The 22,763-nt window shown below is 36.3% G+C and overlaps 1 protein-coding gene across 17 annotated transcripts in view; it reads left to right on the forward strand.

Annotated features, from left to right (window-relative positions):
* FAM185A (family with sequence similarity 185 member A) overlaps positions 1–22,763 on the forward strand; it is a 101,725-nt gene that overhangs the window by 13,423 nt on the left and 65,539 nt on the right. For 12 of the 17 annotated variants that reach the window (NR_146986.3, NR_146984.3, NR_146981.3 and 9 more), the window contains 2 exons: positions 9,988–10,029; positions 14,832–14,927. Coding sequence is in view for 3 of the 17 variants with exons in the window: in NM_001145268.2 (NP_001138740.2) it covers positions 9,988–10,029; positions 14,832–14,927 (138 nt within the window). In the remaining 14 variants the exon portion in view is untranslated. Of the gene's footprint in view, positions 1–960; positions 1,256–9,987; positions 10,030–14,831; positions 14,928–22,763 lie in introns of all 17 variants that reach the window. The other 5 variants (NR_146982.3, NR_146985.2, NR_146983.2 and 2 more) reach the window with 2 other exon arrangements.

The raw sequence follows: 22,763 nt of genomic DNA on the forward strand, positions 1-22,763 counted from the left end.
AGAATTAATAATCACTAATCCAGTATAAAACATCTGCTAAATGCCTTTTGAGCCATATTCCAGGAAGTACAGATTCGGACTTTTTCCATATATAGTCCACTCATTTCACCTCTATAGTAAAGCTGGATATTGGTATCTGTACACTCTGGCAAAACTCTCAGATTTTAGTTGTGAGCAAGAGTTATAGAGTGGCATTAGAAAGCATGGTTAGTGCTAATCATGCTATGTAGTAATTTGGCAAGTAGTCTTCTAAAAAAAAATTTTAAAAAGCATACTTATATGCTTGAAATAGTTCTGGAGCCTCAATTTAATGGTTAAACCTCAAGCATTCTTGCAAGGTTAAAGTATTATTTGAGCCCAAAATAGCTTAAGTACATATGGAGCTGTACCCAGATGAAGCAAATGGTTTTGTTACTTATTCATTTATTTATTTTTTATTCAGTTGTACCTTAAGTAGATCTGGTAGTTTGTAACTCTTCATAATTTAAAAGTGACTTTTATATAAGCATTGCATTTCTAACTATCTTAATCATAATGAAAAATACTGTGCTTAATGTATTTAGTAGCTTTTAGTGGAGAAACAATTCCTTATCAAGTCAGATGTGGATTAACATCCACAGGAAAAGCAGTCTGTTCTCTGCAATGCTTTATACCATGTTTACACTAAATTCATAATGTTTCTTTTTTGCATTCTTTTAAGTTAGATAAATTGAATTTGGTACAGTTTATCATTAATTGCCTAGATGGTAGTAAAACAGGTGGTCTTTTTTGAAGCAGTCCTCAAAGTACTTAGGTCTGTTGATTACTTAAAGTAGCTAAAATGGAAATACATTGCTGGAAAAGAAAGTTAATTCCTTAGCCTTAATAAAACCTTTTTATATTTACTGACCTTTAATATGAAATCAGATACCTTTCCTTAGCTGGTTTAAATCTAGGTCCTCTTTTGGACTATTGTTTCAGGTTGAATTTCCCTGAAAGCAGACACTCTGAAATGGAAATTTGAGCACAGCGAATTTACTAGGGAGGCCTCTTGGGACCAATGCCATGTAAAGGAAGAAAGCCAGATTTCCATGGGAGAAGTTGGACTGTGATACAGTTTCAGTAACCCACACGGAGAGCTCTGAAGCTGGGATGGTCCCTCAGAGTTGTCTCAAGCTGGGGTGAGAGGAGCTGGACGTTTATATCCCCAATCATTAGATGCAAGCTGCCCCAGGAAGGAGTATGATCTTGGGCCGAAGTGACTCCTTTTTGCTAGGTAATTCCCAAAGACGGCTGACAGCTGAGGGCTGTCTGCCAGCAGTACTCCAATAGCTAGGAAAATAAGCCCTTCAGTTATGATGTGGGATCTGGATGAGGAATATAGCATCTACTACAGTTATATTTATTCATTCATTTGACACATTTATTGACCACCTACTGTGTGCCAGATTTCCAGGCACCAAGGGTGCAAAGTTGGGCAGGAGGTGAAACCTGTCGTTAAAGAATTCAGAGTAGAGTAGAAGGATTAAATATACTTTCTTATTTTCTCAGTTACTACCATCCCCTTTGGGATGTTACTTCCCACCTCATTTCCAGTGGTCCATTATCACCCTGCCTCAATGCAAAGAACTCTTTTAGATGTTTCTCACAGCTTCTTTGTGTAATACTAGTACAGCAATGAGAAGGAGAAGGGGAAGGGAAAATTTAATCCAGTTTCAAATTATAGTTACTTTCACAGAAGTAACTGTAGAAAAGCTTCCATGTTCAGCCTTGCTTTCTCCACCTAGTCCTTGTTCCTCACTCTGCTTTGGTTTTTCAGCATATACAAGAGAGAACTAAGACAGGAAACCCCTCTTAATTCCATGGACACACCCCAGTGCCTCGACTTTTAAAAAATCACCCTTCAGACACTTCTAAGTTTCTTGCCTTCCTCTCCCCTATCACCTCTATTTCCATCCTTGTCCTAAGGGATTGTATGAACATGCTTTTGGAGTTTGTAGTCTGGGGTTTGGGATGGGAGGGGTACAGGAGAGCGGGCAGTGTTTAGTCTCACATCCTGGTGGGTGAGAAGATTAGAGTCATGGCTGGTGAAAGTAAGTCCCAGTTTTCTAGTTCCTGGAATTTTGGTGGGAATTATTTCTCCCAAGATCTTCCCAACCTAGAACTCTGGATATATATTTCAATGAATTCTTTGTGCTAAATGCTGATGGTTATATAACACAAATTAGGTATATATTTTGGCTATATTTAAATAAACTGGCTTGAGAATCTTAAAACTTGTTTTTATGGGAAAATACATTGCTATTTCTAAACATTTGACTTACAGAAAACAAACTGAGAATATATGCGTTCTTGGTCAGGATTTATTTACTTTAGCTTCTTTTTTCTTAAGCAAGGCTTAAACTAATTTTTTTCCAGAGAGAGCAGAAAAAAAAAATCCAACATATAGATGTTGTAAAAACCATTTATACACAAATATAATGCAGTAACTTTCTTTTTGGTGGATTTTACAAGTAGAGTTTGGAGCCTTTGTGCCAGTAGGTGGGTGGGTGGGTGGTTGAAAGCAAACATGTATTGAGTACCTAAATTGGCCAGCCCCTTTTACTTAATGAACAATTGGCTGTTCACAGATGAGGAAAACTAGACTTAGAAATGTCTAATTGTTTACTCTCAACTCCACAAGTTAATTAGTGGAATAGCAAGGATTTGATCCTAGTTTCTTGGCTTTCTAGGAGAGGTTTTTAAACAGTGAACTTGATTGCAACCGCAAATTCCATCATCACTTTGAGGGCTTCCTGGCTCACTGTAAAGATGTTTCCTCCAAGAAGACAGTACTATAACACAGATGCACTGCTTCAGCTATGTTCTACATTATAAGTTCCTTGAGTTTCAGGACATTTATCGTGCTTTATGACTGAAAATGTAGATGTTCCATACAGTGTTTGGGCTTAGCTCCATGGTAGCATTCAGGAACTGGACTCCTTCCATAAAAGTGATGGTGCTGTCTTAAGTGTGTGGCTTCTAAGTCTTCCATGAAAGGAAACAAGAGCATGAAATTTATTTTTTGTCTGCATTTTCAATATTTTTATATACCCTGATGGCAAAGCAACATCTAACATACTAGTGCCGAGTACTTAGAGCATGCCCATTAATGAGGAAAAGAGTAATGAAAGGAGCAATATATCTTTCCTGGCCTTGCAAGTTGATTCCTATGTATAGAGAAGAAAATAATTTATCCTAAGTGTTTTTTCAAGTGAAATTTTTAAGTATAGCTAACTATATTTTATATGTAAGAAACTGAGTAAGCTAATTGACTAGTCATATTTCCTATTTGTATAGTTGGTTGAATCACATCTGTTAAGTGTGTATGCCTTCTACTACAAAAGAAACCAGTTTATTCATTGACTTATTAAATATTCACTTTCTGACGATGGGAATCTAGTGGGAGAATAGGTACTTGAATAGGTTGTGTTTAGATGTAAAATTTTATGAGTTTACTATCTTGATTTCCTTCTAAATAATCAAAAATTAAATTTGGTTTTATATGAATAATATTTTATTAAATTCTGATATTTGAATATTGATACTTTTCAAAGAATGCTGTGCATGTATAATACATGCATATATTTATATGTATTCTACAAAATACAGTTTTAAATATAAATATGGTTTTTCTGACTCTATTGGAGACAATGAAAAACTTCCTTGAAATGGTTTGCTAGGATTGGTTTTATTTATAACCCATGATTTAAACAAACTGATTCGATTAAGATGTAAGAGTGTTCATGTTACTTGTTTTTGTGTATTTTAAAAATTTATGTTATGATCCGGAACAGTGACTAATGAATAAAACTCTATTTTAAATATTTAGATTTCCTATGTAAATTAGGCTCTATTTTAAGTTCTATGGAAACATATCTTGATAGATAAATTGCTGAGTATTAGTTCTCTCATTTTCTCTGCACTTCAAAAGTCCTTTGTTCTTCAACTATTTGGCATACATGCATAAACTTTTCCTTTAGTAACTACTTTTTTATTTTTGAAATTTTCAAGAAGTACAATTTACATGAACTGTACAAAACACAGGTGATAACTTTGATAGCACTCAAAATTTCAGAAGAAATGTCCCAATCTGCTTTAAGAAGGACTTGTAGTCACTGATAAATTTATAAATCTGGTTTGTAAACTTAGAAAGTCAGAAATAATATACAATTTTAAAACAGAATCTTTTATTGGATTAAATAGATCTTTTCATGACATTCATGAAAATGTTTTATTGAAATTCTAGTATTTATTCCTAGCCTAGGTCATTATGAAGTTTTAATTTGATTATCATTTTGATGCTTAATTTCGAATCTGGACACATACAACTTTGTTTTTTTTGTTTTTTTTGTTTTGTTTTGTTTTGTTTTTGAGAGAAGTCTCACTCTTGTCCCCCAGGCTTGAGTGTGATGGCTTGATCTCGGCTCACTGCAACCTCCACTACCCAGGTTCAAACAATTCTCCTGCCTCTGCCTCCCAAGTAGCTGGGATTAAGGCGCCTGCTACCACGCCTGGCTAATTTTTATATTTTTTAGTACAGACAGGGTTTCACCATGTTGGCCAGGTTGGTCTCAAACTCCTGACCTCAGGTGATCCGCACGCCTCGGCCTCCCAAAGTGCTGGAATTACAGGCATGAGCCACCGCACCTGGCCACAACTTTTTTATATGAAATATTAGAAAAGAATTACAGCTTTTTTTTTTTTTTGTGGTGCAAACCATGTAGGTTTTTCAGGGTTTAGACCTCTGACACAAAATATTGATATTTACTACAGTGTCTGTCCTAAGTGCAGCTCCTTAGAGACATTCAGAGACTTGGCTTCCTCAGTTTGTGGCTTCCAAGTCTTCCATGAAAAATGAGACAGCACAGAGGATCATGGAAGAAGTTTCAGAAACCAGGCCTAGAAGTGCATATATTACTTCTGCCCATAGATCTTTGGACAAAATATTTTCAAATGGCTTTACCTAACTGCAAAGGCTGAGATATGTAGTTTAGCAGTACTTTTATGGAAGAAGAGAGGCACACAAATATTAATGGACACTGGCAGTCTCTATCATATATTTATAATTGCTCTTTCACAAATGTCTCTATATTCCTTCTCTTTCCACCTCTGTGATAATTGGTATTCTCCAGGATTTCATCCTTGTCCTATTGTTCTTTCTCTACATATTTTCCTAGGGCATCTTATATACTTTTGAGTCTGAACTACCCTTACAAGGGTGTTTCAAATCTGATTATTCAAATCTATGTCTCTAGCCCTGACTAATTTATACATCCATCTGGCAGGTAGACATAGCCATTTGGATCTTCACAGACATCTTGAACTCAACATTTCTTGCTTTTTTCCCTTCTTCCCCAGTCCCTGAACGTCATCTGTAATGTGTCCTCTTTCCTTGTTTTTATTTGCTGTTTCTGATATTGCCATGTTCCCAATTCCCATGCTATAAATCTGGCAGTGGTCTTAACTTCCTGTTTCTCTCTCATCTCCTGCATCTAATCAACTACCAAGTTTAGGCAGGTTTTATCTCCTAAATATTTTTTCAATCTATCTCACCTTTTTCCTGCTAATTTCTACACTTCTGTTTTAGACCCTCTTGACCTCTTGCCTTGATACTAGCAATAACTTTGCCTCCAGCCTTGCCTTCTTCAGATCCATTTCTCCTCACTGCAGCTAAAGTAGTTTATTAGTAATGCACATTGAACATGTCATTCTCTTATTCGGACCGTTTTCTACTGCCTTAGTGACGTGCCCAACTTCCCTCTTCCCTCTTCTGACTGTATGCTTTGTCTTCCAGAATTAGTCTTTTTTCCTATATACATTTTTACCTGTTTTATACCTCTGAGTTCTTGATCAGAGCCTTTGATCATACTGATCATACTGTTTATATTCTGCCTGAAATGCTTTTCCTAGCTTTTTAAAAATCTTGTTGACTTTTTTAATCTTTCAGTACTCAGCTAAAGCATCTTGCCTCATCTCTGGTTTTCTATAAATCCTTGCCTAATTATAAATTCCTCAAGAACAAAGATTATGTTTTATTCATCTCTATATTCTTAGCATTTAGCACTGTGGCTTGCAAATACAAGTGTCTCCCTTTCCACCTCCCCACCCCTACCCACCAAAAACCACAAAATGACTTAATCTTTAAGGATACTTGATTACTCTGTTTGGATTTTAAGAGTTCTATGTGCTTGAACCATAATCACATTTCTTTTGGTGAAGAAAAATAAACCAATGTTTATCTTTAAATTGATTACATTTTTTTTTCCTCTGACCATGCTAGAATGAAAGGTTACAAGCTAAGAAAAACTATCTATTTTCTCAAATACTGGGATTTGTGGAAAACTTATATAACTTGAGAGTAGGGTAAGCACACATAGTTATTACAGACCATCTGGTGTCTGCTTTATTGGAAAGAAGCTTTTACTAAGATTTACTCCTCTCAAATAATTAATTTATTATTTTCAGTGTTTGGAGATGAAGTAGGTGGAATCAAAATATAGAAAATTTTGCTAATAATGCCCATTTTGTTGCTTGGTATACTTTTAAATATACTACTTTATTCCACTATGCATTTGAAGGAAGAAATCCATTTTGTGTTTTCTAATGACTTTAGAATATTTCTGTTTAAGGTAGAGATTTTCTAAATATTTTGATATGAGTTGAAAATAAGTTTTTGTTTACTGTTTTATTTAGAGTTGACAAAAATATTTTGAAGTGTTACTTACAACTAGACAGTATTTGAAATGATTCCTTAATTCCATGGGTTTTTGTTGTTGTTGCTCCATTATGCTTTTAGTATACAGTAGAACTCAAACATTCAAGAAGAATGTTATCTGAGACTCTATAGGTCCCACTATAATTAACTAATCCTCATTTTGTATAGATCTAAAACTTCTATTTTTCTGGTTCAAAGAATCATTGTTTTCTCAAGACCTCCTCACTTTCATGACAAGCACTAATGATTGGCTTTTTGAGAAAGACCATATTTTTATTTTAAAAAAAATTGTAAATTTTTACTGCATTATTAAAGACTAGTGTAAAACTATAAAGCTCCATTGCCTTGATGAGTGGGTGACTGGATTCACTAGCTAAATGACTGTAAAACTTTATCATAGTTCTTTATTAATAAAGTTACGAATATCAGGGACCTGTCTATCTTTTATTGTTCAGGAGGTAGAGCAGTGTCTTAGTCTGTTTTCTGTTGCTATAACAGAATACCTGAGACTGAGTGATTTATAAAGCTTATATATTACAGTTCTGGAGGCTGAGAAGTCTGAGGTCTAGGAGCCGCATCTGGTGAGAGCCTTCTTGCGGATAGGGGCTCTGCAGAGTCATGAAGTGGCACAGGCCTCACATGGAGAGAGGCTGCATGAGAGACACCCACACTGGCTCTTATAACAGACTCACTCTTGTAATAGCTAACCCACTCCCTCTATGACCCATTAATCCATTGATTCATGAATGGGTTAATCCATTCATGAGGGTAGAGCCCTCATGACCCAATTACCTCCCAAAGGTCCCACCTCATAGTATTGCTGCACTGGGGACTAAGTTTCCAACACATGAACTTTTGTGGGAACGTTCAAACCACAACAAGCAGTAAAGAGAATGCTGAGTATGGAAACACCCACTGTCTCACACTAGGTGAATCTCCTTAAAGCATGGTTTTCTTGTATTTTTATTCATCTTGAAATTCTTCACTAACTTTTTTGGTGTAGGATAGTCAGTAGACTTAGCACTCTGTGGTTCTACCACAGGTTGCTCTTTACCTACTTTTCCAAACTTTTTATTTGTTCACAAAATAATTGTGTTTACTATGTACTATGCACTGTGCAAAGTTCCCAGGTATGAAGCTAAATAAGAAAGATGTGATTCCTGTCCTCCTAGACTTGCCTCATTGGGATCTAATTAAATGAAAGAGCTTCTGCACTGCAAAAGAAATTATGAACAGAGTAAATAGACAACCTACAGAATGGGAGAAAATATTTGCAAACTCTGTATCTGACAAAGGTTTAATATCCTTTGTTCCTTTGAATCTTCAAGGAAGTTAAACAAATCAATAAGCAAAAAACTAATAACCCTATTAAAAATGAGCAAAAGACAGGACATTTTGCTCATTTCTCAAGAGAAGACGTACAAGAAACCAACAAACATGAAAAACTGTTCCAAATCACTAGTCATCAGAGAAATGCAAATCAAAACCACAATGAGATATCATCTCACACCAGTCAGAATGGCTATTATTAAAAATAAGTAAAAAAACAACAGACGCTGGCGAGGCTGTGGAGAAAGGGGAACACTCATACACTGTTGGTGGGAATGTAAATTAGTTCAGCCACTGTGGAAAGCAGTTTGAAGATTTCTCAAAGAACTTAAAACAGAACCACCATTCAACCCAGCAATTCCATTACTGGATATATACACAAAAGAAAATAAATCATTCTTCCAAAAAGACACATGCACTCAACATATTCACTGCAGCTCTATTCACAATAGCAAAGACATGGAATCAACCTATGTGCCCATCAGTGGTGGACTGGATAAAGAGAATGTGGTACATATACACCATGGAATACTATGCGGCCATAAAGAAGAATGAAATTATATCCTTTGCAGCAGCATGGATGCAGTTGGAAGCCACTATCCTAAGCGAATTAACACAGGAATAGAAAACCAAATACCACATGGTCTTACCTATAAGTGGGGGGTAAACATTGGATAATTATGGACATAAAGATGGCAACAGTAGAAACTGGAGTCTACTAGATGGGGGATGGAGGGACGGGGCAAGGGTTGAAAAACTATTGGGTACTATGCCTAGTACCTGGGTGATGGGATCATTTGTACCCCAGACTTCAACATCACACAATATACCCAGGTAACAAACCTGCACATGTATCCCCTGAATCTAAAATATGAAAAAAAATTAGTAATCTTATAAGCTTCAGTACACAAACCAAGTTTTTATTCATACACAAATATACTCCTTGTTCATATACTCACAAGAAATATGATGGTATATTAGACCTTCAGATGGATTTTTGCAATTAGGCGCATCTGGCTATTGAGTAAATGAATCCAGTGCCTTTTTTTGGTTTTTCCCAGATACTGATACAAGTCAGTATTCATAAGGTATATGAAATGAGATAAAATGAGTTTACTGAAGATTAATTCTGAGGCCAAAGTTATTCCTTTACTTTTTAGTGTAGTTTTGGAATTATTTTAGAAGAGATAACATTATTGCTTATATTTTCAGTAGAATAAATATGAGTTCCTGATTCTAGGAATACTTACACATACAAACACACATATGAAGAATAATCCTACTACTTTTGGTGTTAGGGGAAAGGGGCTGGGAAGAATGGTTGCAATATTCCATCCTTATCATGGAAAACATATTTTCACTAAGACGGAAATCTTTGAAGCTTCTTTGTTCTGTTTTGTTAGTCATACCTCCATGTATTCATTATTCCTATCTCAAACCACTTTAATTCTTGGCCCAGAAACTACTTTTAATTTAATAGACATGGCAAGTGGCCTGAAAAATAAAAGTAATTCTTTTTTTCCATACCATATTTTAGTGTTACTTGGTTGAAAACTTCGCTTTGTGTGGTCTGATAAATACATTGATATTTAGGTTGAAAATGTACAGTGACTACATTTCAGTAATTTTTTTCACTTACAGGTTTTAGAAGTATTGTTTTTCCTCTGTGCCAGCAGTTATGGTGATTTGTAGTTATGCTATAAAAGCTTAAGGTTTGGTAGTAGAGAAAGAAGGTTTGCAGAGATACCTAAGCCAGTTATTTCAGAACTACAGCTCAATCTTTGACTGGACTTGTGATATTGGGAAAAATTGCCAACAAAAATAACATTGTAGATATTCATCCATGTTTTAGCATTGCTATGTATCACAGTTCCTTTCTAGATTGTCTCTAGTACATAAAAGTATCTTTTTCTTTTTGGCAGGTAATATAACATTACAAAGCAAGATGGGTAACATCACAGTAGGTATGTGCTAAGCTACTAGTTCGTGTATTTTGTCCACTTTTAAAAATGGGTATATTTGTGATGACTTTATTAGAATAAATGAATTCTACAGTTTAACTGATGAACTTGACAGGATCACAAGTCAAATATAGGCAGAACCAATGTACTAATTATGTCCACTCGAAGAAAATCGCCTGAGCTGGTATTAAGAAATGTCTTATATTTCTTGCTAAACTTCTCTGAAGAAAAAAAAAAGAAAAGAAAGAAAAAAAGATCTTACAAATTTCTTGAATTCTTCAAATATCTAAATTAAGTCCTTGAAAGAAAGATATAAATAATGTCACTGTTTATTGGGCTCCAAATGTGTTAACATTTGAAGACAACCTTGTGAATACCAATAACTAGTTAGTCAACATGTATTTATTGAGTACCTGCCATGTATTAAGAATTCTTTTAGGTACTAGGGAACATATTGGTCAACAGGACATAGTTTCTGTGCTCAGAGACCTCACCTTCTCTGAGCCCTGGGAAGAAAGACAACAAGCACATAAATAACAAAAGGTAATTTTAGTTTGTGGTAAGTACAATGAAGAAATAAGAAAGGGTAACTGAATAGAGATTGGGGAAAAAGAAAGCTACTTCAGTTAGGCAATTGGGGGTGGTCTGGAGAGGGTACATTTAAACCAAAGCCAGAAAAATGAGAAAGAGTTATATAAAATTCTGGATACAGGCTCCCTAGATAGAGGAACAGCAAGTGCAGGCCTTGAAAATGGAAGTTTACTATTTTCAAGGGAAAGAAGGCTGGCTTATGAGGAAAGTGGTAGGATATGAGGTAAGTAAGGCTAGATCTTAGGACCTTGTAGACAGGGTAAGAGTTCAGACTTTATTCCAACTACAACAGGATGTTAGGGAAGTGATATATAATTTATATTTTAAAAGAACAACCTAGCTGTTATTTCATAATGTACCAGAAGGGTTCAGAAGTGAAAGCAGGCTATTAGAAGGCTTAATTTGTTCATTCTACTGTTGATGGACACCTGGGCCATTTCTAATTTTTTGGCAACTGTAAATAAAGCTGCTATGAATATATTAATGTAAGTCATTTTATGGATGTATATATATTTTTCCTCTTGGGTAAATACGTAGGTATGGCATTGCTGAGTTGACTAGGTAGGTTCTATGTTTAACTTTATGATAAACTACCAGACCTTTTCCCAAAGTTCCACTTTATACTCTCATCAACAATGTATGAGAATTTGAGTTGCTCCACATCCTCATCAACATTTATTATTGTCAGTTTTAAAATTTTTTTATATCATCATTTGTTGAAAAAACTTCCTTTCTCTGATGGATTACTTTAGCATCCTTGTCTAAAATCAAATCACTATATAAGTGTGGCTCAATGTCTGATCTCTTGTTCCTAATTCATTGATTTATTTGGTGAGCCTTATGCCGGTGCCACAATATCATGATTACTGTATCTTTGGTAAGTCTGTAAATCAGGTAGTTGAAGTCTTCCAAATTTGTTCCTTTTAAGGATTACTTTGGATATAATAGGTCCTTTGATTTTCCAGTCAGTTTCTACCAAAAAATACAGTTTTGATTATGTTTGGGATTGCACTGAATCACATTGTATCTTCCAATTAATGAACATGGTAGGTAGCTCTCTCCATTTATTTAGGTCTTCTTTAATTTTTCTCAGCATTGCTTTGTAAGTTTCAGTGTAGAGATCTGGCACATTTTTTTGTTAAATTCATTTGTGTTTTTAACACTGTTACAAATGAGACAGTTTTTAAGACTTTGCTTCTAATTGTCTACTGCTGATATATGTAAATACAAATGATTTTTATAAATGGACCTTGTATCTTGTGACCTTGCTAAATTTATTCTAATAGTGGTTTTCTCAAATCTAGAATCCTTTTCTAGCTGAGCAGACATTTTCAACTGCAAATAGAGTTTTACCTCTTTCCCTCCTATCTTTATTACTTTTCTTTTTCTTGCCTTATCAGACTAGCTATGAACTTCAGTATAATGTTGAATGTAGTGATGAGAGTGTGATTCCTTGCACTTGATCCCTATCCTTGTCCCCAATATTAGGGGGAATGCATTAAGTGTGATGTTAGCTATAGATTTTTAACAGATGCCTTTTATCAGATTGGGAGAGTAATCTTTTATTCCTTGTTTGCTTAAAAGTTTCTCTTTTTTTACTTTCTTTGTTCGTGAATGAGTGTTGAATTTTGTCAAACACATTTCCTGAATTTATTGAAATGATCATTTTTCTTTTATTAATATGACCAACTATACTGACTGATTTTTCTTTTAACATTATTTACTTGTTTATTATTTTAAAAAATAGAGACAAGGTCTCACTTTGTTACCCATACTGGTCTCAAATGCCTGGCTTCAAGCAGTTCTCCTGCCTCAGCCTCCTAAAGTGCTGGAATTACAGGCATAAGCCACCACACCTGGCCCTTTCTTTAAAATATCTATCATTTACTCAGTGCCCATGTGCCAAGCACTGAGCTAATCACATTACAATGTAGATTTATTTTGGTATCTTTTGTGGTGTGTTTTGTTTTTGTTTTTTTTTTTTGCTTTTGCTGACTTTATTGAGACATAATTGACAAAACCGTATATATTTAAGGTATACATGCAATATAATGATTTGATATACATATATACTGTGAAATAATTTCCACAGTCCGTTTAGTTAACATATCTGTCACTTCACCTCATTACCATTTTATGTGTATGATGAAAATGTTTAAGATTTACTCTCTTAGCAAATATCAAGTTTACAGTACAGTATTGTTAATTACAGTCACTGTGCTATACATTAGATCTACAGGACTTTCTCCCAGATCCATAGAATTTCTCCATTATGTAAACTCCAAAAGAATGAAATTCTGTGGATGAAGCCTTAATTTTACTCTTGATAATTAATTTTAGTTCTGATAATTTGTGTTAAACAAAAAAAATAGGAGGGCTTGTTTTGCTGCATAGTTTTAAAATATCACCTTTGCCTTCTTTCTTGAAAACATCTTGCGTTTTCATTTTTTTATTTTTTAACATCCTCCAAGGGATGAGCCATCATTAGAGATCAATACAGATAACATGAGGATATAATTACTTTGTGGCCTAGGATATAATTATTTAGCTGTCATTTATTTCTCATTTGGAGGGAAAAATAAATGAAAGTATTATTTATGAGCCACATAAAAATTGTGTGTGTTTTTTTTCCCTCCTTGAGAAAGCGAGAAATCACACTAATGTTTCAGCTATTTTACTTTGTTCAAACTGGAATAATACACACCTTGTGTATTACACTTTTCTTTTTTTTAGCATAATGTAATTTTTACTTGGCTTCTTTTAGGATGCGGTAAGAGGTTTAAAAAGGAGTTTCTGTTGGTTCGTAAGCAGTGAAATGTTCATTTTGTCCAGCTATTCTGTGTCATTTATCTCTAGTGGTTTCATTTCCCAACGTCAGTGTTAACTTTTGACACTTGAAAACTAAATAAATTGAGTCTGATAAAGGGCATTTTCCAGTATAGATTGGAAATAAATTATTATAAATGATCTTGGAGCCGCATTTTAAACAGTTTATTCCAAATTTACTCTCTTTGTTTGAAGTCAGTTAACATTTTTTTAAAAGAAAAATGTTGGCTCCTATACACACACACACACACAAATGTTTTCTCTCTCTGTTTTGTAAACAGTATAATTTTTGGCATAGTTTTCACCACACTCCCTACTTTGTTTCCACTTTGAAGTAATAAAACCTCCTGATAAAATATGCTTTTTAAGAGGCCTCTCTAAAAAGAATATGCTTTGGCTTTCTCCAGGCAGTCAGATAGAATATTAAATTAAAGATTCAATTGCCATGGGAGAAAGAGAAGAAGGAAAAACCACTTAGCACTAACTCTTCAAGTTCATTTTCTTACTTCCTTATTTTGACTGTTTTCCCTTGAACTTGAGATACTGGTTGATTCAAAAGTGGGGTCATTGACCACATAGGGAAATTTGAATGACAAATCAGGGTTACCTTAATTATTATTTTCTTATCCTCACTTAAAGATACCTGTTCAATTCCAGAAACTTGAAAAGAACTATTAGATATAAACAAGCTATTCTTCAAATTATTCCACCCTGCCCTTCTGCCCCTTAAAGAAATGCAGCAAGCCAGGAACAGTGGTTTGTGCCTGTAATCCCAGGAGTATGGCTTGGTCCCAGGAGTCAGAGACCAGCCTGGACAGCATAGCAAGACCCTGTCTCTAAAAAAAAAAAAAAAAAGAAAAAAAGAAATGCGACAACTTTATGTAGAGTAATCTTTTACTATTAGGAGCACTTCTTAGTATCAGCAAATTTGCTACAAGGAGAAATTATGAGAGGTTTTGATTTTTGTCAGCCTTGCTACTGCTTGTATGTGACTATACATGAGGTAGAATTCTTTGGTAATTATTGAAAGTTTACTAAATGTATCAACATGATAAAAAACTAAATATATCAATGATGCTTAGTGGTCAAAGGAACCATTACTTGCAGACTCTCCTTCCGACTCATTAAGTTTTAGAGTAAATGTTTAGAGATAAGTTATTCAGGTTAATATAGATAAAGATTTTTAAATTAGTTGTTTAATAGATTTCTAGGTTTCTGATACTGTTTACGTTCAAGTGCAAACAATGGCATTGTTATGAGGAAAATACTAAACCTTGCAAGATTCTTAGCCCCTTATCCTAATGCTAAAGCAGAGCCTTTTATTTTAAGTTTGTAATTCCATTTATCAAGTAAGAATTATTTTACTTATGGTTTTTTCTTCTTCCTAGATTCGTCTTCTGGATGTCTAAAAGCCTCAACTAATCAGGGTGCCATAGATGTTTATGTCAGCCAACTGGGGAAAGTGGAATTGAAATCCCATAAAGGTTAGTGAACTGGAATGTTTTATTTTGACATATGATGTAAGGAAGGTTTATGTAACACTCAGGAAACAGATGGTCAAATTATCTATACTGACATAGTGATTTCAAGAAAATATCTTCTGATAGAACCTAATTTAAAGGCACTGGTCTGCTAGCTTTCTAGACCAGTGATCTTTACAACTTTTGGGATAGATGGCCATGCAGACTATCTTTCCCTTTGTAGTACAAACAAAAATGTAATATTTTGACTGTTATTATGGAATTTTTAAATGTTACTCTGTGGATTTTTCAGTTTATTCTATTCTGAAATAGAATAATCTTTGAAGGAAAAACGCTGCCATACACTCTTTTGGAAGCTTCTCTGCCAGCCTGTAAAAGGAACTTCTCAGGCAATCAGTGTAGAGTAACAGTTTTCAAAGTGTGATCCTTAAATAAAGGTATCACACAGAAAGGTCCTCTAAAGTGATTACTTAGTCTCTTGAAGTATCAAGACTTATGATATGTCTCTATCATTTAACTTCTGACACAACTTATTCTGAGTCCAACTCTTTCATTTAAAATGGTATACTTTTCATCTGAAAGCTAAATATGAATTTGTCTGTTCTTCTGCACACATGGATGTACACATATGTGTTGACAAGTGGCTTGGGTGAAGTAGGTTGGCCATAGGGGCTGAAGTGGCTTGGCTGCAGAAAGTTAAGAACTGTAGCTCTGTATAAAAAAATTTTTTTAAATAGTCTAGCAGCTCTTGCATGTTGGCCAGATGTTTAACAAGGAAAATATTTCCTCACAGAGACTGATTGTTCCTGCTATTAGTAGTTGCTTTACCATATTGATGTAATAGTTTTTTTTAATCCATCTCTAGAATTTGTCAGTGTCAAAACTGCAAAACACAGAGGTCTGAAACCTCAGTTATTGCTGATACACCGGTGTGACTTCTCAATATCATATTTTCTCCCTTTAAAATAGGATAAACTTATGTCCTCACTAAATCTAAGAGCTTCAGGTAATACTCTTCAGGGAAAATTATAAATGGCATGTAAGTCATATAACTGTACTCCATTATTACAAAGATCCAAAGAGAAGAGGGATATATTGTTAATATAACTAGTAACAGAGTAAGAACAAAGTTTTGAATAAGCAGCTGTTACATACAAATAATTTAATGTTTTGCACAGTAGGCAAAATAAAACAAACAGAAAACTGTAAAACTTTTGAAGATTGTTAGTCTTTATTCATTTAAAATATTTCTTAGTATTATTTGGAATATTGCTGGAACAATATTGGAATAGTATTTGAAACTATTGAAATAGTATTTGATGTTGCAAAATTTGATTAGGATTACAGTTTTATGTTTTCTTCTACTGGGACCATGTTACTGGCAAAAGCTTAAAGACAACTGAAAACAAAGATTTCTGTCTTACTTCAGATCTCCGAATTCTCAATACACTTGGTAAGAGTAACTTTTTAAGAGTAATGGAAAGTTATTCAGTAACTCTTTCTTAATCGTTCGCAAAGACATCTGGAATCCATTCCAACTCTGCCACTGTCTTGCTGTAGGGTTCAGAGCCAGCCACTGGAGTCTCTTAGGTCTTCAACATTTTCTGATGTGGAAAAATATATAATGCTTGTTTTCTTTCACCTTATGAAAATTAATATGGTGACCTTCTTAATTCATTCCAGGCTATGCTTGGGCCTGGGAGTCACACCTGAATCTGAGTACTGACTTTTCTACTTAACATTTTGTCCTTGGGAAAATCACTAATTTTAACATAATATGCCTTCAATAAATGATGCTGTTAGTTCACATTTGAATTTTTAAGAGGATAGTACTGATGTCAACCATGAAGAAGTTTATGATGTGAAAAGAGGTTAAAGAACACAACAAGAGCCCTCCTTTCTAAAAAAGTTAGTGTTAACGATGGGACATTAGGAAGGTTTTCAAGTCATGAAAATTCTTCATTCACAAACAGTAATGGAGTTTTGGTAGGTGGTTTTTGGCTTTTAAAGATATGGAGGGAGATGGGGTAGAAATCTTTGCATTGCTTAACATTTCTAAAGATCTGAAAAATTTAAGATCATGTTATGCATTTAAGGACAGAGACAAGTGTTCATAAAGTTAGCACACTTGAAACTTGATACATTTAGACATATCAAGCCCTACAAAAAAGTTTTTAAATCCATGATTTTCTACTTTTGAAAGTATGTTTGGTAGAAAAACGTGTCTTCTATTTATCCTGAAATCTTCCAGGGTTGTTTTTGTTTTGTTTTTTCCTAAAGCCCTCATATGTTGTTATGGGAATCTCCTGTCTGTAGTTTACATTTGAACCCTGGAAAGCAATTAAGTTTTTTGTTTTTGTTTTTGAGACAGGGTATCACTCTGTCACCCAGGCTGGAGTGCAGCAGCAAGATCATGGCTCAGTGCAGCCTCATCAGGATCGCCTAAGCTTGGGAGGTCAGCCTTCCAGGTAGATGAGACTACAGTTGTGCACCACCACACCCAGCTTTTTTTTTTTTTTTTTTTTTTTTTTTTTGAGCTGGGGGAGGTAGAAACAGGGTTTCACCATGTTGTCCAGGCTGGTCTCGAACTCTTGAGCTCAAGCAATCCACCTACCTTGGCTTCCCAAAGTACTGAGATTACAGCCACAAGCCACTGTGCCTGGCTGCAATTTATTTCTTAATAAAATAAACTAGTTGTAGTAATATGCATTGTTCCCTAATTTTTTTTTAGAATAGAACAGTTTGTCATGCTTATCTCAAACTTCTAGCTCCAGTTAGGAAGACCAAGAAATTACTTAAGGAAGCTTAAGCTGATGTTAGCCAGATTGGAAGGAAAACCACGACCCATAAGTAAATGCATTCTAAACCCCATCCTGACCATCTTTGTCCACAGAGGTGGGGTTAATGCATTATGGCAGGGGCCTTTTACCTACTTTATTTAATGAAAAACAGGAAGAAAAACTTCTGAAATAGGAGTGTGTTGGTGAATTTACACTGCAACCCACATAATTCTAAAAATGATTCCATACCTAACAGAGTACTTTTCCTGATTTACTCCTTTAGAAGGTTGAATTACAGCCAGGTTGTATGGAAATACAGGCTGAGTGTCTTACCTTAGGTATCCAAAAGCCTGTAATCTACTCAAAAGAAACATTAGTGAGTTGGAATTCAAATAATCCTTTTCTATTGTTATTTTTTGTTACACACAAGGCACATCTGAAAGCACAAGAGCTCAGTGTTCTAGTTGTGTTATAATAATGAGGTCACAAGTCCTGTACTACGATGAGGTAGGAGTGTGTGAAATACCATGGTGGTTAAAAGCATGGGCTTTAGGGTGGAGCCAAGATGCTGAATACGAACAGCTCCAGTCTACAGCTGCCAGCGTGAGCGACGCAGAAGACAGGTGATTTTTACATTTCCCACTGAGGTACCAGGTTCATCTCACTGGGGAGTGTCAGAAAGTGGGTGCAGGACAGTGGGCGCAGCGCACCGAGCGTGAGCCAAAGCAGGGCGAGGCATCACCTCACCCGGGAAGCGCAAGGGGTCAGGGAATACCCTTTCCTAGTCAAAGAAAGGGGGTGACAGACAGCACCTGGAAAATCGGGTCACTCCCACCCTAATACTGCTTATTTCCAATGGTCTTAGCAAACGGCACACCAGGAGATTATATCCCACGCATGGCTCTGAGGGTCCTATGCCCACGGAGCCTCGCTCATTGCTAGCACAGCAGTCTGAGATCAAACAGCAAGGCAGCAGCGAGGCTAGGGGAGGGGCGTCCACCATTGCCGAGGCTTGAGTAGGTAAACAAGTGGCCATGAAGCTCGAACTGGGTGGAGCCCACCACCGCAGCTCAAGGAGGCCTGCCTGCCTCTGTAGACTCCACATCTGGGGGCAGGGCACAGCCAAACAAAAGGCAGCAGAAAGCTCTGCAAACTTAAATATGCCTGTCTGACAGGCTTGAAGAGAGTAAAGGTTCTCCCAGCATGCAGCTGGACATCTGAGAATGGACAGACTGCCTCAAGTGGGTCCCTGACCCCCGAGTAGCCTAACTGGGAGGTATCCCCCAGTACGGGCAGACTGACACCTCACACGGCCAGGTACTCCTCTGAGACAAAACTTCCAGAGTAATGATCAGGCAGCAACATCTGCTCTTCACCAATATCCGCTGTTCTGCAGCCTCTGCTGCTGATACCCAGGCAAACGGTCTGGAGTAGACCTCCAGCAAACTCCAACAGACCTGCAGCTGAGGGTCCTGACTGTTAGAAGGAAAACTAACAAACAGAAAGGACATCCACACAAAAACCCCATCTGTACGTCACCATCATCAAAGACCAAAGGTAGATAAAACCACAAGATGGGGAAAAAAACAGAGCAGAAAAACTGGAAACTCTCAAAATCAGAGCACCTCTCCTCCTCTAGAGGAACGCGGCTCCTCACCAGTAACGGAACAAAGCTGGATGGAGAATGACTTTGACGAGTTGAGAGAAGGCTTCAGACAATCAAACTACTCTGAGCTAAAGGAGGAAGTTTGAACCCATGGCAAAGAAGTTAAAAACCTTGAAAAAAAATTAGATGAATGGCTAACTAGAATAATCAATGCAGAGAAGTCCCTAAAGGACCTGATGGAGCTGAAAACCAAGGCATGAGAACTATGTGACGAATGCACAAGCCTCAGTAGCTGATTCGATCAACTGGAAGAAAGGGTATCAGTGATGGAAGATGAAATGAATGAAATGAAGCGAGAAGTTTAGAGAAAAAAGAATAAAAAGAAATGAACAAAACCTCCAAGAAATATGGGACTATGTGAAAAGACCAAATCTACATCTGATTGGTGTACCTGAAAGTGATGGGGAGAATGGAACCAAGTTGGAAAACACTCTGCAGGATATTATCCAGGAGAACTTCCCCAGTCTAGCAAGGCAGGCCAACATTCAGATTGAGGAAATACAGAGAATGCCACAAAGATACTCCTCGAGAAGAGCAACTCCAAGACACATAATTGTCAGATTCACCAAAGTTGAAATGAAGGAAAAAATGTTAAGGGCAGCCAGAGAGAAAGGTCGGGTTACCCACAAAGGGAAGCCCATCAGACTAACAGCTGATCTCTCAGCAGAAACTCTACAAGCCAGAAGTGAGTGGGGGCCAATATTCAACGTTCTTAAAGAAAAGAATTTTCAACCCAGAATTTCATATCCAGCCAAACTAAGCTTCATAAGTGAAGAAGAAATAAAATACTTTACAGACAAGCAACTGCTGAGAGATTTTGTCACCAACAGGCCGCCCCTAAAACAGCTCCTGAAGGAAGCACTAAACATGGAAAGGAACAACCAGTACCAGCCACTGCAAAAACATGCCAAATTGTGAAGACCATCGAGGCTAGGAAGAAACTGCATCAACTAATGAGCAAAATAACCAGCTAACATCATAATGACAGGATCAAATTCACACATAACAATATTAACCTTAAATGTAAATGGGCTAAATGCTCCAATTAAAAGACACAGACTGGCAAATTGGATAAAGACTCAAGACCCATCAGTGTGCTGTATTCAGGAAACCCATCTCACGTGCAGAGACACACATAGGCTCAAAATAAAGGATGGAGGAAGATCTACCAAGCAAATAGAAAACAAAAAAAGGCAGGGGTTGCAATCCTAGTCTCTGATAAAACAGACTTTAAACCAGCAAAGATCAAAAGAGACAAAGAAGGCCATTACATAATGGTAAAGGGATCAATTCAACAAGAAGAGATAACTATCGTAAATATATATGCACCCAATACAGGAGCACCCAGATTCATAAAGCAAGTCCTTAGAGACCTACAAGGAGACTTAGACTCCCACACAATAATAATGGGAGACTTTAACACCCTACTGTCAGCATTAGACAGATCAACGAGACAGAAAGTTAACAAGGATATTCAGGAATTGAACTCAGCTCTGCACCAAGCAGACCTAATAGACATCTACAGAACTCTCCACCCCAAATCAACAGAATATACATTCTTCTCAGCACCACACCGCACTTATTCCAAAATTGACCACTTAGTTGGAAGTAAAGCACTCCTCAGGAAATGTAAAAGAACAGAAATTATAACAAACTGTCTCTCAGACCACAGTGCAATCAAACTAGAACTCAGGATTAAGAAACTCACTCAAAACCACTCAACTACATGGCAACTGAACAACCTGCTCTTGAATGACTACTGGGTACATAACGAAATGAAGGCAGAAATAAAGATGTTCTTTGAAACCAATGAAAACAAAGACACAACATACCAGAATCTCTGGTATGTCAAAGATACCAGAATCTCTGGTATGCTCTGGTATGTGAAAGCAGTGTGTAGAGGGAAATTTATAGCACTAAATGCCCACAAGAGAAAGCAGGAAAGATCTAAAATTGACACCCTAACATCACAATTAAAAGAACTAGAGAAGCAAGAGCAAACACATTCAAAAACTAGCAGAAGGCAAGAAATAACTAAGATCAGAGCAGAACTGAAGGAAATAGAGACACAAAAAACCCTTCAAAAAATCAATGAATGCAGGAGCTGGTTTTTTGAAAAGATCAACAAAATTGATAGACCGCTAGCAAGACTAATTAAGAAGAAAAGAGAGAAGAATCAAATAGATGCAATAAAAAATGACAAAGGGGATATCATCACCGATCCCACAGAAATACAAACTACCATCAGAGAATACTATAAACACCTCTACGGAAATAAACTAGAAAATCTAGAAGAAATGGATAAATTCCTGGACACATACACCCTCCCAAGACTAAACCAGGAAGAAGTTGAATCTCTGAATAGACCAATAACAGGCTCTGAAATTGAGGCAATAATTAATAGCTTACCAACCAAAAAAAGTCCAGGACCAGATGGATTCACAGCCGAATTCTACCAGAGGTACAAGGAGGAGCTGGTACCATTCCTTCTGAAACTATTCCAATCAATAGAAAAAGAGGGAATCCTTCCTAACTCATTTTATGAGGCCAGCATCATCCTGATACCAAAGCCTGGCAGAGACACACAAAAAAAGAGAATTTTAGACCAATATTCCTGATGAACATCGATGCAAAAATCCTCAATAAAATATTGGCAAACTGAATCCAGCAGCACATCAAGAAGTTTATCTACCATGATCAAGTGGGCTTCATCCCTGGGATGCAAGGCTGGTTCAACATATGCAAATCAATAAACATAATCCAGCATATAAACAGAACCAACGACAAAAACCATATGATTATCTCAATAGATGCAGAAAAGGCCTTGACAAAATTCAACAACGCTTCATGCTAAAAACTCTCAATAAATTAGGTATTGCTGGGATGTATCTCAAAATAATAAGAGCTATCTATGACAAACCCACAGCCAATATCATACTGAATGGGCAAAAACTGGAAGCATTCCCCTTGAAAACTGGCACAAGACAGGGATGCCCTCTCTCACCACTCCTCTTCAACATAGTGTTGGAAGTTCTGGCCAGGGCAATCAGGCAGGAGAAAGAAATAAAGGGTATTCAATTAGGAATAGAGGAAGTCAAATTGTCCCTGTTTGCAGATGACATGATTGTATATCTAGAAAACCCCATCGTCTCAGCCCAAAATCTCCTTAAGCTGATAGGCAACTTCAGCAAAGTCTCAGGATACAAAATCAATGTGCAAAAATCACAAGCATTCTTATATACCGATAACAGACAGAGAGCTAAATCATGAGTGAACTCCCATTTACAATTGCTTCAAAGAGAATAAAATACCTAGGAATTCAACTTACAAGGGACGTGAAGGACCTTTTCAAGGAGAACTACAAACCACTGCTCAATGAAATAAAAGAGGATA

This window comes from Homo sapiens, chromosome 7, assembly GCF_000001405.40.
Source record: "Homo sapiens chromosome 7, GRCh38.p14 Primary Assembly".
In the NCBI taxonomy this organism is placed as follows: domain Eukaryota; kingdom Metazoa; phylum Chordata; class Mammalia; order Primates; family Hominidae; genus Homo; species Homo sapiens.